This window comes from Homo sapiens, chromosome 6, assembly GCF_000001405.40.
Source record: "Homo sapiens chromosome 6, GRCh38.p14 Primary Assembly".
Lineage (NCBI taxonomy): Eukaryota > Metazoa > Chordata > Mammalia > Primates > Hominidae > Homo > Homo sapiens.
In genome coordinates this window covers 157,979,695-157,997,269 of record NC_000006.12, presented here as the reverse complement: position 1 = coordinate 157,997,269, position 17,575 = coordinate 157,979,695, and the positions used below count along the sequence as shown (strand labels likewise).

General features: G+C 49.6%; 1 protein-coding gene across 7 annotated transcripts in view, besides 8 other annotated features; it reads right to left on the bottom strand.

Moving 5' to 3' along the window:
• SYNJ2 (synaptojanin 2) overlaps window positions 1-15,974 on the bottom strand; it is a 117,881-nt gene extending 101,907 nt beyond the window's left edge. For 6 of the 7 annotated variants that reach the window (NM_001410947.1, NM_003898.4, XM_011536224.2 and 3 more), the window contains exon 1: window positions 15,182-15,407. In NM_001410947.1, the coding sequence (NP_001397876.1) occupies window positions 15,182-15,308 (127 nt within the window). In that variant the 5' untranslated portion in view covers window positions 15,309-15,407. Of the gene's footprint in view, window positions 1-15,181; window positions 15,408-15,955 lie in introns of those variants that run through there. The other variant, XM_047419472.1, reaches the window with a different exon arrangement.
• Window positions 15,126-15,641: an enhancer, noted in NCBI's record as "NANOG-H3K27ac-H3K4me1 hESC enhancer chr6:158402661-158403176 (GRCh37/hg19 assembly coordinates)". NCBI's record gives its function as "activates a minimal SCP1, AML or CMV promoter by ChIP-STARR-seq in naive H9 embryonic stem cells {active_cell/tissue: H9 hESC(naive)}" and the evidence as "EXISTENCE:reporter gene assay evidence [ECO:0000049][PMID:30033119]".
• Window positions 15,126-15,721: a biological region, named in NCBI's record as "NANOG-H3K27ac-H3K4me1 hESC enhancer GRCh37_chr6:158402661-158403176".
• Window positions 15,142-15,721: a silencer, noted in NCBI's record as "silent region_17731". NCBI's record gives its function as "represses an Ori minimal core promoter by ATAC-STARR-seq in GM12878 lymphoblastoid cells {active_cell/tissue: GM12878}" and the evidence as "EXISTENCE:reporter gene assay evidence [ECO:0000049][PMID:35858748]".
• Window positions 15,642-16,157: an enhancer, noted in NCBI's record as "H3K27ac-H3K4me1 hESC enhancer chr6:158402145-158402660 (GRCh37/hg19 assembly coordinates)". NCBI's record gives its function as "activates a minimal SCP1, AML or CMV promoter by ChIP-STARR-seq in naive H9 embryonic stem cells {active_cell/tissue: H9 hESC(naive)}" and the evidence as "EXISTENCE:reporter gene assay evidence [ECO:0000049][PMID:30033119]".
• Window positions 15,642-16,171: a biological region, named in NCBI's record as "H3K27ac-H3K4me1 hESC enhancer GRCh37_chr6:158402145-158402660".
• Window positions 15,842-15,891: an enhancer, noted in NCBI's record as "active region_25344". NCBI's record gives its function as "activates an Ori minimal core promoter by ATAC-STARR-seq in GM12878 lymphoblastoid cells {active_cell/tissue: GM12878}" and the evidence as "EXISTENCE:reporter gene assay evidence [ECO:0000049][PMID:35858748]".
• Window positions 15,912-16,101: an enhancer, noted in NCBI's record as "active region_25343". NCBI's record gives its function as "activates an Ori minimal core promoter by ATAC-STARR-seq in GM12878 lymphoblastoid cells {active_cell/tissue: GM12878}" and the evidence as "EXISTENCE:reporter gene assay evidence [ECO:0000049][PMID:35858748]".
• Window positions 16,122-16,171: an enhancer, noted in NCBI's record as "active region_25342". NCBI's record gives its function as "activates an Ori minimal core promoter by ATAC-STARR-seq in GM12878 lymphoblastoid cells {active_cell/tissue: GM12878}" and the evidence as "EXISTENCE:reporter gene assay evidence [ECO:0000049][PMID:35858748]".

Genomic DNA, 17,575 nt, shown 5'->3' with positions numbered 1-17,575 from the left:
TCCCGGGTTAGGACAGCAATGTATTTTTCTGGGGCACACAATTCAACCCACAATGCATTTTTGCAGTGGACAACAGAAGACACCCACGTAAGCACACACATAAGGTAATTTCAGTGATAAGCGCCAAGAAGAAAGGAAACCAGGCATGGGGCAGAGACAGTTGGTGTGTGGGGGCTGCAGGGTATTCCAGCCACAGAGGTCAGGAAGGTCTTACTGCAGTCACGAAGCTGGGTGGGGGGGGGTGGGGTAGGTGGGGAGACGGAGGCAGCAGCAGCCAGGCCAACCCTTGGTGTACTAGTCTGTTCTCGCACTGCTATAAAGAAATGCCTGAGACTGGGTAATTTATAAAGAAAAGAGATTTAATTGGCTCATGGATCTGTAGGCTATACGGGAAGCATGGCAGCATCTGCTTCTTGGGAGGCCTCGGGGAGCTTTTACTCATGGTGGAAGGCAAAGTGGGAATAGGCAACTTACATGGCAGGAGCAGGACCAAGAGGGTGGGGTGGGTGCCACACACTTTTAAACAATCAGATCTTGTGGCAACTCACTGTTTCAATGATAACCCCAGGGGGGATGGTGCTGACCATTCATGAGAAACCACCACCATGGCCCAATCACCTCCCACTGGGCCCCATCTCCAGCACTGGGGATCACATTTCAACATGACTTCGGGTGGGGACATAGATCCAAACCATATCACCTGGGGGAGGGAGTGCATGCAGGTGGGTGTGAAGATTCTGAGCAGGAACAAGTCAGGCTGCTGAATGCAGTGAGCCCAGGAAATGGTGGGAGATGAGGGTGGAGAAAGAGGCAGGGGCAGAGGATCAGGGCTGTGTGAGCTTCAAGCAGATCCCTATACGGGGAGCAGGGGAAGAGCCAGGAGACTAGTTCAAAGGCTGCCAAGCAGACCAGGAAAGCACATGGGGCAGTGGCTGCACTCTCGATGTAGCAGCGATGACCGGGGGACTCGGTGGGATTCACCATCTGTTTTGGGGTGGGATTCACTACTGGCTGGTAGGTTGGATGAGGCTGAGGAAGGAAGGGGCGTCAGAATGACTCACAGGCTTTTATTACCAGCAGTTGCCTGGATGGTGCTGCCATTAACCAAAATGGGAGAATGAAGGTAAGAATAAGTTTGGATGTAGGGGGAGTCCAGCGATACTGTAAAATCAGCCTGTTACATTTTAGACCAGGCTCTTGTTGGAATTTAATTGGATTTACTCATCGATACTTGCACTTCCAGATTAACTGGAGAGGAACTGCCATCTCTATAGTGTTGATGTTCCCACTCCAAGAACATAGTATGCCTTTCCACAGATGTGGGCTTCAGTCAAGTTCTATAGCTTTCTTCTTTTAGGCCTTATACACTTTGTTTATTCCCAGAAACTGTGGGGGAGTGGCATCTGCTTTTCCCATTACAGACTCTAATTGATTAATGATGGCATTATGGGAAGGCTATTGATTTTTATCTGTCGATGTTGAAAAGCGGCCAATTTATAACTCCCTGTCTAGTGAACCACCAAGCAGCTTGTCACCCGGCTCACGGAGGTGTCAACATTTTCCCACTCTTATTTCACCAACTCCCCGTCCCCGCTGTGTGTGTGTGTGCATGCATGTGTCCGTCTGTCTCCTGGCGCATGCCAAACAGATCCCAGACATGGGATCACTTCACTCGCAGATGCTCATTTCAGGCACAGATGGGCATTTCCCGCACAGATGCTTCAGGATCTAGCTCTCGGCTTTCCTGAGTGTATGATCCTATCCTCCGCACTCAAAATACCTTAGGAGTGTTCAGAAGAGAAGGCAGGCACAAGACAGAGAGCTGCCCTAGGAGGGCCCAGCAGAGTGGATGTGATGGAACTGGAGTTTCAAGGTGCTCCTTTGAAGCTCACACACTGTTTGTTTTTTTTAATAGGAGCACCCCTCAAGTCTTTGTTCCAGGTGTATATTCTCTTTTAAGCCAAAATTCTGAGACGCTCTCAGCAACTTAATTTTCCTGACAGTAAACTGAGCCTGAAATCTAAAAGGAGAAGATGTTGCCCAAGACAGACACACTCAAAGGCCCTAGAAGTCTGGGGCTATTCATACGCAGTCATATTTCATCATATTTTCTCATTGCCTGTATATAGTCTGAACATAACTTGCTTTATGTTTTAAGGGTGAGCTCCAAATACCACTTCTGCAGTTGGCTGAATCACTACTGCTCAGGCTGGGAAAAGGCCTTTGCCAGTTTTAGCAGGATGGGCAGTCTGGGGCCCATATAGCTTCTTCTGTGAATTAGAAGGAAGTGCCCCCATGCCGTAGATTCAGACACACAGAGCCACAGCCTGGAAAGCAAGGTGGTGCAGGGCAATGGAGGGGCGCTCCTGGCCAGGAACCCCCTGGGACTCCCTGGGGTCTTCAGAATTGCCAATATTTTCAACATCCTCATGGAAATCATCTCTCATCTATCTTCCCCTGTCAAAAAGAGCCCAAATCTATTGCTTCTGGTTAAAATCAGTGTATACCACCAGACAGAATCCCTCAGGCCTCACCCAAAAATGCCATTTATGTGGTCTGCCTGGAGGGCGTGGCAGATGCCCTTTGAAATGAAAACACAAGCTTCTGTCTGTCCACTCTGGAGACATGAGATGCCATCATGGAATTCCATTCCTGCAGCTCGCTGCTGGCCCTCCCATTTTCCACCCAGCTGTGGTTCTGAGCTCGCCACCCACCGCCAGGTGGTCCAGGTGAAAAGAGAGGTAGATCCCCCACCCAGAAGGGCCTTGTTACAAGGGCCTGGCTCAGGCCTGGGCAGCTCCAGCCTTAGTTTTCAAAGATTCCTTTCTTTATTCACATCATTTAAATAAAAACAAACAACCTCCATTGTTGAAACAGACTGTGACAGCCAGTGTCACTGTTCTGCCCTGGAGCACGTGGACTGTCACTGCCAATGACAGCCTTCTAATCACTCATCTCTGCCCAGCTGGCTCCACCTGACCTCAGCTTTGCTGAATCAGCAGGAGCTGCAGAGAACGGTCACCTCCTCTTAAAGAGAATGTTTCCAATAGACAATATTTATCAGTCATTGATAAGATTCATGGTAAAGCGGGGTTCATGCAACATATAAAACAGACAGTTTAAACAGACAGATAAAAAAGACCACACACTGGCTGGGTGTGGTGGCTCACACCTGTAATGTAATCCCAGCACTTTTGAAGTCCGAGGCAGGTGGATCAAGAGGTCAGGAGATCGAGACCATCCTGACTAACATGGTGAAACCCCGTCTCTACTAAAAAATACAAAAAATTAGCCAGGGGTGGTGGCGGGCGCCTGTAGTCCCAGCTACTCGGGAGGCTGAGGCAGGAGAATGGTGTGAACCAGGGAGGCGGAGCTTGCAGTGAGCCGAGGTAGCTGCACTGCCCTCTAGCCTGGGAGACAGAGCGAGACTCCGTCCCAAAAAAAAAAAAAAAAAAAAAAAAAAAAAAAAAAACCCACACATTTCCAGACACACAAACTCCCGCCTCCCTAGCCAAATGACAGTCCAGGTTACTTAAAAAAAAAAAAAAAAAAAAAAAAAGCTATGCAAGAATGAAAGTTATGTTTTTAAGAATGCCATGGCCCTCAAACTATGAAGCTACTACAGTAAAACATTGGGAAAGACCTCCAGGACATTGACCTGGGCAAAAATGTATTGAGCAATACCCCACAAGCACAGGCAACCAAAGCAAAAATGAACAAAAGAGATCATATTAAGTTAAAAAGCTTTTGCACAGCAAAGGAAACAATCAACAAAGTGAAGAGACAGCCCACAGAATGGGAGGAAATATTTGCAAACTACTCATCTGACAAGGGACTAATAACCAGAATATATAAGGAGCTCAAACAATTCTACAGGAAAAAAATCTAATAATCCGATCCAAAAAATGAGCAAAAGATTTGAATGTACATTTCTCAAAAGAAGAAATACAAATGGTAAACAGGCATATGAAAAGGTGCCCAACATCACTGATCGTCAGAAAAAGGCAAATCAAAACTACACTGAGAGATCATCTTACCCCAATTACAATGGCTTACATCCAAAAGTCAGGCAATAACAAATGCTGGCAAGGATGTGGAGAAAAGGAAACCCTTGTACACAGTTGGTGGGAATGTAAATTAGTACAACCACTATATATGTTATATACTATATATACGTTATGTAGTATACATATGTTATATATGTTATGTACTATATGTACTATATGCGTACAACCACTATGGAGAACAGTTTGGAGGTTCCTCAAAAAACTAAAAGTAGAGCTATCATATGATCCAGCAATCCCACTGCTGGGTATCTACCCAAAAGAAAGGAAATCAGTATATCAAACAGATGTCTGCACTCCCATGTTAGTTGCAGCACTGTTCACAATAGCCAAGATTTGGAAGCAACTTCAGTGTCCACCAACAGATGAATGGATAAAGAAAATGTGGTACATATACACAGTGGAGTACTATTTATCCATAAAAAAGAATGAGATCCTGTTATCTGCAACAACATGGATGGAACTGGAGGTCATTATGTTAAGTGAAACAAGCCAGCCAGCCGAGTGCAGTTGCTCACACCTGCTCACACCTGTAATCCCAGCACTTTGGGAGGCCGAGGCGGGTGGATCACCAGAGGTCAGGAGTTCGAGACCAGCCTGGACAACATGGTGAAACCCTGTCTCTACTAAAAATACAAAAATTAGCTGGGTGTGGTGGTGGGTGCCTGTAATCCCAGCTACTTGGGAGGTTGAACCCAGAAGGCGGAGGTTGCAGTGAGCCGAGATCGCACCACTGCACTATAGCCTGTGTGACAGAGCAAGACTCTGTCTCAAAAAAAAGGAAAAAAAAAAAAAAAAAAAAAAGAAACAAGCCAGGCACAGAAAGACAAACATTGCATATTCTCACTTATTTGTGGGATCTAAAAATCAAAATTGAATTCATGGACATAGAGAATAGAAGGATGGTTACCAGAGGCTAGGAAGGGTAGCGGCGGGGGTCTAGGGAGGAGGTGGGGATGGTTAATGAGTAAAACAAATAAAAATAAAAGGAATGAATAAGAACTGGTACTTGATAGCACAACATGGTGACTATATAATTTAACTGTACATTTTAAAATAACTAAAAGAGTATAATTGGTTTGTAACACAAAAGATAAATGTGTGAGGGGATGGATGCCCCATTTTCCATGATGTGGTTATTACATATTACATGCCTGTATCAAAATATCTCATGTATCCCATAAATATATATACCTACTATGTACCCACAAAAAAATAAAAATTTTAAAAAGTCATGGCTTTTAACAAGAATCTGCTAAACCAGCCATGGAATCAGCACAGTCCATATTTTAATCAATCCCTTGGCATTCCCAAAGTAAGCTTCAATTGCTTTTTATAAGTTTTTGCTGGTTGTAGGAAAGGGTAGACTCAAGGAGAGATAATCTCATGTATTTTCATTAATTCATAAGCATCCCATAAAAAATGCAGAGCATCAGATTTCTAGGTTTAGCTGAGACCTCAAAGCCATCTTCGATTTTGCCTTGCCAGATCACATCTCCTAAGATTTGCATTTCTGAGTGGTTTATAACTTTAGGTGTGTGAAGTAGCGATGGTGACAGTGACATGTTTAGTTTTAAAACTTTTTTCTTTTAAGACGCATGGAATCTCAGAGTAGGAAAGGCAACTAGGTTGTCATTCATTTGTTTTCAGATTAAGATATTGGGGCCCGGAGCAATTAACTAAATTCCCCCACTGGAAAGAAGAGCCTAAGGAGCCAGGGCTAGGATTCAGGTCTCCTCCCTCCCAAGCTGATGCGAGATCCTGGTACTCAAAGCTGGTCGTGGATCAGCATCACCTGGGAGCTTGTTAGAACGGCAGGCTCTCAAGGCCCACCCCAGAGCCAACGAGGCAGAACCCGATTTGCCACAAGAATCTCCAGGTGAGGTGAACAAGTAAGGTTTTGGAAGCACTGCTGTCCCGGGTTTGTTGACTTAGGGTGAGGAGGGGAGGTGTTCTCAGCCAATCTCCTTAAGGTTCGTCCCTCACCTGGTCACAACGCACTCACCACTTTCTCCGGCAAATGTGTGTGCCAGGCTCCAGAGGCGTTCTCTCTTCCCCTCCTTAGAATCATTCAGACTGCGCAGTTAAGCTAGGCAGTCTCCATCTGTGATACACCCAAAGCCTCTCCTGGCGTGGCACATGCTCCCTCTCTGAAAGCAAAGGTATTGACTTTGCAGCTGAAAAAGAGACTGGGGCTTGGGATGGGAGAGGCAGGTGCTGAGGGCTGGGGTCTGGCTGTCCCATTGCCCAAGGTGTCTTGTAAGCCTCAGTTTTACCCACCGTGAGCAGCCACTTAGTTCCCTGTCCTCAGGGCAGAGAGGTGGGAAAGGACACAGGTGAAGAGTTTGGAGGTGGTATCACTGGAACATTCTAGGTTCAGAGCCGAGGAAAGGGAAGGAAGTCATTTGCCTCTTCCGGGTTACTCCCACCAGTCAGTAAGAAGTCAATGTAGAACCACCCCTCGCCTTAGCATTCACAGACAGGCAGCCAGCAGCAGGGGTGAGAAACTGCACGGGAGCCCGTGCTCACCTTAAATTTGGCCATTTTGCTACATCTTGCCGGGAGCCTGGAGCAGCCCGGTCCTCCGCTGGGTCTGAGCAGCAGCCGCTAACAACCTGCCCCCTCCCGCAACCCAAGTCCCACACCAACGCCAGAGCCAGGAGAGAATTTAGAGTCAGAGTTCTGCTCAGGGAGACCACATCCTACTTCAAAGGCCCCTGGGGACATGCATCTTCATTTCCTAGCAGCTGTGATGAAGAAGCAGGCGTGCGGGGGTGAGGCCCTGTCCTCAGGGGGTGTGTGGGCTCACTAGAAACATACAACTCCATCTGAGATGGAAGGCTGGCTTGGGGCACGCCAAGGAGAAGGAGAAGAAGGCATGAGAGAGTGGGCAGGAATGCAGGATGCAGGAATACAACCAGGTGCCCGAGAGCCCCATGTCCTCAAAAACCTGCCTTAGAATGAAGCTCAGACCTTCACACTGGAGCCGTGGAACTTGATCCCACCTCCTGCGGCCTGGGCCTGGGGCACAAGCACAAGCTGCCTCTGTGGCTGACAGGCTCCCAGTGAATCCGCTGCTCCGAGTCACCTTTTCAACCAGGAGGCTTTACAAGCAGTGGCAGCCTGCCAGCCTCGCGGGCCAAGGGCACAGACGGCGCAGCCCACAGGACCTGGCCGGGGCATCTAGCCTCCTGGCGCAGCACCAGACTCACGCTCCGAGGCTGGCTCCTGCCCAGTGCCCCCCAGGGCAAGGCACAGTTCCATCCACCAACTTGGCAGAGCCTCCTAGCCCCCCCCAGAAAAGCCCACAGGGTCAGGAAGACACGCTCTGCAGGAGCCCCAGCACCCTCCCGCAGACACTTCTCCAGCTCAAACCCAGGGGCATCTTGGAGCCGACCCAGTCTAACGTTCTGGGTTTGCCAGGCCTCATGTTCCTTGAGAAGCCTGGGGCCTTGTAGCATCCTTTGCACTGGGGGGCGCTTTCCTCAGCACCTTGGGGCCGCATCAGCCTCTGCTCCCAGTGCTGGGGACATCCGTGTGGAGGCTCAGCTCTGCCCCCAGGAGCGTGGGCTTCAAGCATGTTTCTCCCAGAGATCATGTTTCGCCTTTGTAGTGCCACACCCTCTGCTCAGAAAGGGGCTGGCTGTTTCCCCAAGTGGGAACCTCCTCGATCAAAAGTGTATGTCAGATGAAAACCAAGATAAGCCAGAGACAACAGGACAAAGGGAGTCTTTTTCCATATATATATATATATATATATATATATATATATATATATTCATTTTTTTACATAAGAATGAGATTTTACTGAACATATTGTTCTCTGGAGCCTTCCACTGGAGGTGGAGCCTCAGGCAAGTTCTTAGGCCTCTTGTGCCTCAGTTTCCCCAAGTGTAAAATGGAGATTACTAGTACTTGCCTTGACATAAGGATGAAGTAAGTTAATAAATGTAAGCCACTTGGATCAGCACCTGGTAGGTGGTAAACACTCCACAAATGTCAGCTATTATGATCAAGTTGAACCAAAGTTTATTTAACCAGTGAAAAACTCAAAACAGCTTGCAATAAACATCCTTGAAGCAAAATGGGCTAGTGATCTGGGACTGTTTCCTGAGATAAACTTCTGCATGTAGAATAGCGGATTAAGCACTCCGGTTTTCATTCACCTGTCTAAATTTTCCTCCAGAAAGAAAGAATGACTTACATTTACATGAACAGTGCCAGAAGGCTCCTGCCCGTGAGATCTCGAAAAGAAGCAGTACCCTGAACTGGGCTGTTTCGTATGGACTTTGAAGGTGGACCCAGCCTGCCCACTGACAGCCTCCTGTCCACAGTGTGTGGTTGATGGCACCGCAGCTCTGGGGGCTTTAAGTGTCATGTGCACCCTCCCAACCCAATTTGGTTTTCACCTCGAGGACAGCTGGCCACGACACCAACAAGCCCTGCCCAGAAATGCTAAAGGGACTCCGATCAAATTCCCAAGTCTGAGCCTGAACCAGTTTACCCATGGCTTTAAGGACAATTCAAGTGGAAAGAAAACAGAATATATTCCCCATCCTCAGTGGGAAGGCCGAAGGAGCCCAGCAACAGAAACTGAGCAGCCAAAAAGCACAAAGGGGACCCTGAGCACCCCAGGAACGCTCCAGAAGAGAGACACAGCAGAGAGACACGGGCTGGGACAGGTGCCCAGGACAGGTCTGCCTGAATATCTGTAGGGTCTGGGGCCAGAGTACTCATGAGTGCTGCATCCTGTATGCCCAGCTGTTCAGTTTTAAATCAAGCTAACAAAGTAAAACAGTTAAATAAAATAGGTTCTATCCTCCTACCTCGAAAAGTATGCCACCGTGACTACCTGGAAGGCCAGGTTCATTATGTAGCCAGTGGGGAGGGCGGCCCCAGCCTGGCCACCTTCTCTTCCCCGACTTCCCCCAACCTGGGCTTCATGCCCCCCTGCAGGGAGCCTCGTGCATACACACACAGAGTCCCAGCTAGTGTGTGTCCCGTTCCACCTGTAACATGCCCTTGCCACCCCAACGCCCGGGCCTGGGGTGGACATACGGCTGCACAGTCTGCCTGAGGCCCTGGGAGGGGGCTGAGCAGGCTGCACTATGTGCTTAGCACACTCCAGGGTCTTGAGCAGCAGGAATGTCATCCAGAAAGGGGAGCATAGAGGCCACTGGACATGGCCCTCGGCCCTCTCTTGCCCGGGGCTAGAGGCAGTGCCGTCAAAGGGCCCAGACCTTGTCCTCCCGAGCTCACCAGCAGAGCGCTCCCTGTTCTTCCAGGCTGTGGTCGACCCTTCCCAAGTGGTCACTTTGCTTTTAAAAATGTGTCTTGGCCAATGTCTCAGAATCAGTTCATGCCACCATTTCTGCTGCTGGCCACACGAAATCTGCCAAGTAAATTTCGAACTTGCATAGCATGGTAACTATAGTTAATAATAATGTATATTTTGAAATCACTAGGAGAGTAAATTTCAAATGTTCTCCCTACAAACAATAAGTGGTCAGGTGCAGTGGCTCATGTCTGTAATCCCAGAACTTTGGGAGGCCGAGGCGGGCGGATCACTTGAAGTCGGGAGTTCGAGACCAGCTTGGCCAACACGGCGAAACCCCATCTCTACTAAAAATACAAAAATTAGCCGGACGTGATGGCACGCGCCTGTAGTCCCAGCTACTCAGGAGGCTGAGGCAGGAGAATCGCTTGAACCTGGGAGGCGGAGGTTACAGTGAGCCGAGATCGGTGCCACTGCACTCCAGCCTGGGTGAGAGAGCAAGACTCCACCTCAAAAAAGATAAATAAATAAACAAAGAAGTATTTGAGGTGATGACTACGTTAATCATCTTGATTTAATCATTCCACATTGTACACATATATGATCACTTTGTACCCCATAATATATAATCATCCTAATCTGTTGGCCTAGCACAGTGGCTCACGCCTATAATCCCAGCACTTTGGGAGGCCGAAGCGGGTGGATCACCTGAGGTCAGGAGTTCGATACCAGCCTGGCCAACATGGTGAAATGCCATCTCTACTAAAAATACAAAAATTAGCCGGGCATGGTAGCACACGCCTATAGTCCCAGCTACTCGGAAGGCTAAGGCCAGAGAATCACTTGAACCTGGGAGGAAGAGGTTGCAGTGAGCCAAGATTGTGCCACAGCACTCCCAGCTGGGCGACAGAGCAAGACTCCATCTCAAAAAACGATAATAATTTGTCAATTTACAATAAAATAAAAAAATTGAACTTCTATATCTAAATGCAAGAAAAAAAAAAAAGCCAACCCAACAAATTAGAATCTTGCCTGGCTTTAAACAAACTAAATTTTAGGAGATTCACGTTTTCATAAAAAATACAGGGACAAGTGAAATAAAAATGGCAATATATTGATAACTATCAATGCCGAATGGCAGGTAGACAGGGGATTCATTTTTCCCTCTACTTTTGTGTTTGAACGTTTTCACAATTAAAGGCTAAAAGCCAAGTTTTTGAGCCACACAGCCAAAACAAGAGCCTGGTAAGATTTGAAATCACGATCTTACAGGTGAGCTACAAAAATCACGGGGAAGGCCGGGCGTGGTGGCTCATTGCCTGTAACCCCAGCACTTTGAGAGGCTGAGGTGGGCGGATCATTTGGGGCCAGGAGTTTGAGACCAGCCTGACCAACATGGTGAAACCCTTTCTCTACTAAAAATACAAATATTAGCCGGGCGTGGTGGTGCATGCCTGTAGTCCCAGCTACTCAGGAGGCTGAGGCAGGAGAATCCCTTGAACCTGGGAGGTGGGGGTTGCAGTGAGCCAAGATTGCGCCATTGTACTCCAGCTGGGCAAAGAGACTCCGTCTCAAACAAACAAACAAAACCCGCGGGAGAAGCACACACCATCCCAGTTTGCATTTTGTAAACACTACGCTGAGACAGCCTCCGGCTAGGAGAGGAGGCAAACCAGTCCTGGAGGCAGACAGACCACTGTGGTCCCGGGTCGCTGCTCTAGTTTCCCACGTCAGGGGCCCCGGAACCCTTGCCTGGTCCTACCTGTGGTTTCAACTTTGTCCAGGAGCATTTATAAAATGGTGACTTATTTGATTCTCTGTGGTCCTCTCTAGCAGATCAAAATTCCAGTCCGTGACCAAATAAATCTGGCCATAATGCCTGAGAAAGTGATCTAGGCAACAGTTCAGACTGAGTCCTGCTCTGCCCTGGGGCCATCTCACCAATTCAAACAAAGCTAAACTCGAGACGTGGCCTCGCACAACAGCAGCTGGGAGAACCTGGGGGCCTGGTGTTTACACAGAACCTTTCCCCCCAGAAGCTCAAAGTAATTTAGGGACACCCATTAATTAACTTAATTAATTCTCTCAAGTCTCCTGCCCCATCCCTCCCTCCCTGCTGCCTGTTCACAGCAAAGCCCGGCTGGGCGGCAGGAGGCACGACTTCACTCACACACAGCCCGCACTGTAAACACAGGGACACCCTCAGGCCACCGTTCCTGGGGGCTGTTGGAGAACCTTGAACTTTGGAACACTGTCGCTTACTCTGAAAATACACAAAATCCATTAACAATAAGCACTTTTCCCTAAGTTTACAAGAGACAGAGACAGGAGTAGGTTTTTGTCCCATGTGCAAATAAGGGAACATCTGTTTGCTAATTGTGGATTGTTGGCCAGGGATGCTGGTACCGGCTACGGGGCTTCCCACCTGTGCTGAGAAGGCCAACTACCCTCCAGTCAGGTTCCCGAGACTTCATAAAAGCCTTTTAAATCAGTGCCAATACATTTGGCTTTTCTGCCTCTGGAATTTTTGCTCCCACTGATCTACATAAAAGACAGATTCAGATTCACAACCTAATTCTTTTAGAAGCAGGAATTTGGAATAATTCCTTCAACAATCCTGCTAGCAGGCCAGACGGCCCTAGTGTGAAGAGTTCACTTTAGAGCAGGACAGGTGAAGACAGGTGAAGACAGGTTCAGATGGAAGGAGTCCAGCAATCAACGAATCATGGACCATCCGTTTTTCCTAAAAATCACAGCCCAGTTCAAGCCCCTGTCTCCAGGCCTTGCCTGAAAATGATAAGGAACCACCCAGCCCCTTCGGCGAGAGGTACTTTTCCAGTTAGGATCCTTCAGGAATAAAATGTGCTATGAAGGGGCAGCGCCTGTGGTCATCAGGCCCAGTCCCCTCATCTCCTCTCGCCCCTAGGAAAGCAGCTATGTGCATCCGCAGCGGAGCAGGATGGAAGTTAGAATGACTCAGGGGCCGGGAAAGACCACTACCCACGAAGCAGTTACCACAACTTGTCTCTCAGCCTCTCATTACTAACTGGGAGGGACCCATCACAGGAAAACCACAGCTGAAGAGAAAAGGAAGCTACCCCCGACTCGGAACTTCAAGGAAAGGGTGAAAGGTCAAGATTAGACCACCAGCTACGCCAGCTGCCACAAGTGTCCTGTCCCATACAAAAGTAGAGATTGCAGCCTTCTTGTAAAAATTCACCTTCTCGGGTCAGGCATGGTGGCTCACGCCTGTAATCCTAGCACTTTGGGAGGCCAAAGCAGGTGGATCACCTAAGGTCAGGAGTTAGAAACCAGCCTGGCCAAAATGGCACAACCCCGTCTCTACTAAAAATACAAAAATTAGCCAGGCATGGTGGCGTGTGCCTGTAATCCTAGCTACTGGGGAGGCTGAGGCAGGAGAATCACTTGAACCCAGGTGGGGGTGGCGGTGTTGCAGTCAGCCGAGATCGCACCACTTCACTCAGCCCAGGCAACAAGAGTGAAGCTCCATCTCAAAAAAAAGAAAAAAAATAATCACTTTCTCCAAGAAAGGAAAGTAAAACAGCTAGCTAGCCCTTTGGAACACAGATGGGAATTTCAAGTTCAGAGCCATTTTATCCAATAGTGATGCATTTAGGATATGTTGAAAGTTTTAAACAACTTTCTAGTAACATAAGGCTCTCTCCTACAAACATTCTCTGGACCAGCAAAGCCACCAAATGCTACAGCTGCTTTTTAAAAATAGTTTCATTTTACTTAAACAAAACAGACTTTAAAAAATTAAGTTTTCAGGCCAGACGCAGTAAGTAGTTCATGCCTGTAATCCCAACGCTTTGGGAGACCAAGGCGGAAAGATCACCTGAGCCCAGGAGTTCGAGAACAGCATGGGCAACATAGTAAGACCCCATTTAAAGAAAAGAAAAGAAAGAGAAAAAATTAGCCAGGCATGGTGGCATGTGCCTATAGTCCCAGCTACTCAGGAGGCTGAGGCAGGAGGATCGCTTGAGCCTGGGAAGTTGAGGCTGCAGTGGGCTGTGACTGTGCCACTGCATGCCAGCCTAGGCAACAGAAGAAGCCTCTGTTTCAAAAAAAAAAAAAATTTTTTTTTAAAGTTTTCTACTGAAAAATGAATGCTAGGTTAAATGACAAATGTGGACTGCACATGAGTTGAAGACGAGCCAATTCCTTTCTTACATTCTCTGTTCTAAAATCTGGTATACTGTAATCACCACCGTGATGTAAATCTCAGCCCAAACTTCAGCTCCTAATGGAAAATATGCACTACATTACTGTCATTAATCATTTTTAAATCTTCACTTTTGAAAAAATAAAATCTCTTTTTTCTAAGCTGCTTCAAAGAATTCTTGAATGTGTATGAACTTGGCTTAATGTTGCCGTAATCCAACTGAAGGACATCTTAATCTATTTGATGAAACAGTAGTTTTGTACCATGAAATTACTCTTTCGCTTCCGATAAATGTGGTATGAAGTAGACATCTAAAATGGAATGGAAATTTCTGTGGTTTTCTTTCAAGGCCACACCAAATAACCAAACTTAGACTCTTCAGGACAGCACAAATTAGAATAATCTGAAAATAACTTAATCTACAATTCACTGCCTACTTTTGATGCTGAGACTACTGGAGACATTGTTTCAGTAATCAAGTGACTGAGAACAAGCTGGATAAATGCATGTTAATGAAATGATTAGGGAATCAGAAATAGGAGAGATAGTCCTTCCAAGACATACATCCGAACGGGAGTCGATGCATACAAATGTGAAAAGAAGGCTAGAGGCATCTACAAAGCAGCCTGCTGCATTTGCCGACCACCTCAAGTACGAGTGACCCCGGGCTGCACCTTGTTTAGCTAGGAATACCGGCAAGCTGTTACAGCTGGACGCCTAGTGGTGGGAGCTTACTCTCGGGTGTCCACATTTAGAAGTCTAACAATCAGACCTGGTTTCACGTGCTTTGGTGCTACCCAGGTTTTCCTTATAATGGTTAGCACAAAACAAGGGACCCAGGTTAGCGATACCAGGAAGCCACGCATTGAATGACATTACAGAAACAGCCACATAAAAGTCAGGTGGATGGTGTCACCTTGGCAAGCAACTTAGCCTCTTTAGGCCTCAGTTTGCTCATCTGCAAAATGGGGATAATAATAGCTTTTTAGTAGAATTGTGAGAATTAAGTGAGATCACGTACTAAAGCCCATAGCACAATGCCAGTTTCAAGGCTTCTGAAGTCCATAGGTGAAATTCGCTGGCTTGGCAGGATCTAAGACAGCATAAAGGTCATGGTATATTTGTTTACAAGTTCTATAAATTGCAGCACCGATGCTTCTCGACCAAGTATTTACGTGGGACAAAGCTGCCATCAGCGGTTTCTCCAGAGCCTATGTTTTGGGGCTTTTGTCCCCATCCCCTCCAGGAGTGGAGCCGCCAACACAAACCAAAGGGCAATCACTGGTTTCATCAACAGGTGCAAAAGAAAAGGCGCCAGGCACAGGGTCAGGCCGGCTAAGTCAACACCCCGGGATCCTCATGAATACGCAAAGCGCCCCAGCCGGCTATCCAGCAACCATATCCTCTGGCGGCGCGGGCCGGAGATCCCCGTGGAGGGGCGGCCGGCCTCCGTGCGCCACCGGCCCAGCCAGAGTGCTCTCTCGAGTCCCCAGCCCCACTTCATTCAAACAGCCACCCCTCTGCGCGCGACCCCTACGCCCCGGCAGTCCCAGCGCCGCCCGATCCCCTCGGGAAGGGGGGGTACCCGTCTTCCCGAGGCTGGGCGAATGCGGGCGCCCTCTCCTCCGGGCGTCGCTGCCCCCGGCCCGGACTCACCCAGCGTGGCCACCGTGCCGGCCTCGAACAGCAGGCAGTCGTCGCGGCCGCGCGCCTCCAGCAGCACGCTACAGTCCCCCTCGGCCCCCAGGCGCCCCAGCAGCCGCAGCCCTTTGCTCAGGGCCATGAGGGTCGGGCCCACTGCGGGCGGGGGCCGGGGCCACGTCCTCCCGAGGGCGCGCTGCCCGCGACAGCTCCCCGCGCGCCCGCAACTTGCCAGAGTTTCACTTTGCGCCGCCGCTCCCGCCGCGCCAGGCTCCTCCCCGGCCTCCTCCCCTTCCTCCTCCTCCCCACTCGCGCCTCCCCAGCCTGGGGCAGGTGAGGGCGCGCCGCCGCCTCCCGCCCGGCCCCGCGCTCCCCCCAGCGGCCAGGCAGCTGCGCGAGGCCGCGCCCCGGGGCTGAGGCTCCCCGCAGGCGGGCGTGGAGCGGAAGAGCCTCCCGGATGCCACGCATTCCTCGCTGCGGAGGAGGATGCCCCGCGCGGGGCGACCCCGGGAGCCTGGCTGCGATGCCGGCCGCCCGCAGCCTTATATGGGCAGCCCGGCCCGGGAGTCCGCCAGGCTGGACCCGCTGACTGTTCCCGCCGGGGGCGCTGCGCCTCCCTGTGTGGTCGGCTCCTGCGACCCTGGACGAGTCCTTTCGACCCTGCGTGCCTCGGTCTCCCTGCGGGGAAGCGGGGTCATAACTGCGCCTACTTCGGCGCGGAGGCCTGAGTTAATTCGCGGAGGCGCTTAGCGGGTGCGGAGCGCGTGGAGCGGGCTGGAGAAAGGTTACCTTTCACTAGCGTTCTATCCCGGAGGCTGTTGCGGTCACCGACCCCGCCAGGGAGAGGTGTTGGGGGTCAACGGTGCGTTGTCGCGAAGAGACCTGGAGCCGTGATCCCCAGACCACGACCCCCACTTACCACGTGACCCTGACTTCTCTGCGCTCCACCTTCCTCTCCTGTCAGATGGTGACAGCGCCTCTCCCACCGGCTCTGGACACCGGCACGTGTCCGCGCGTGTACGCTGGAGTGTGTGGCCCGGCCTTCTGGCGCGGGGTTCTAGCGCCCAGGCTTGGCCTGTCAGAGCTGCAGGGGAGGTGGGGTGGGTATGGGTGTTTAGGGCTGAGTTGGAGTCACTCTTTGGGGTGGTTTGGCGGCTTAATTCCCTTCGCTTGTGATGGGTACGTGAGGATGGCCCGAGAAGCCTCCATCAGCTGTTTCCATCCTGCCCGCAAACGAACTCAGTTCCTCTCTCACCCCATTCTGCTGTACTGGGCCAAGCTGTTTGTCTCTGGGACTTGTCCTAGAAAGGGCAGAGCCCCCAGAGCCAAGCAGAACACTGCCATGCCCCTGCAGACATTCAGTAATGACCAGACAAGCCATCCTCAGGGGACAACCTCTCAGGTGATGGTTGGGTAATAAATTTGAACAACCCCAGCAGAGATTATCTTGACCCTTAGCCCCTTTCCTTGCCCACAAACTCTGCCCAGGTCAAGCATGATGTGCTCAATATCCCAGGCATGATGCTCATCAGCTGTCCGAGCAGCTTCTTTCTGTGTAGATGGAAACATTACTACCTCATGAAAACAGTGTGCCCATTCAGTGAGGCAGATCAGCCTTTGGCCCACTTTTTGACCTGAAACTCACTTCTTCCAGGAAGCTTTCCTGGAATGCTGAGGTCCCAGATAATAGTGCTTATATAACACCCAGATTTACAGACTTCAGTTCTCACCTACTCATATGTTGCTTGAGAAGTGTTTTTATGTTTTCTCTTAGCCCTGTTTTGCAAATTGAGTGGTAAGGCCTTAGGGAGGGGACCCAGTCTTCCATTTATCTCTCTCTCCTCTTTCCTAACTAGCATCATATAGTCTAAAGTCCTGCACAGTGGCATGCCATACCTATTTTAGAAATTTTCCTGCAGTCAGGACCAGCAGTTGAGCCTCACAGCTTATAGAATCCAAGTCACCATCAACTGTAAAATGAACCACTATTTTATGTACCACTGAGAAAAAAAAAAAAACTTCCAATTAAACTAGAACATGCCACCAATAGTCATCTCTGCCCTGATTTAGACAATGTTAAAATGCACGTCTCAGACTCAAGGAACTACAGTGGCTGTTCCTCCGTCTCTGAGAAATGGCTGGGTGAGCCAAGAGCCTGCTGGGTTTTGGGGCCTCTGCTGTCTGGTTTCAGGTGGGACAGCCCACCTGGGTGGCAGAGGGAGCAGCTTCCTCACATGCGCACTGGCTTGATAGACCAAGGGTACCCAGGCACAGGCACCTTTCGCAGATGGAGCAACTGACCTTGAGGCCTTCAAGGAAAAGGTTGGCTCAGACACCTAAACCCCCAGCGGCGTTTGGGCAAAGGGGTGGGCCCATCTGCGGCAGGAGAGTTGGGCGCTTCCCCTCTCT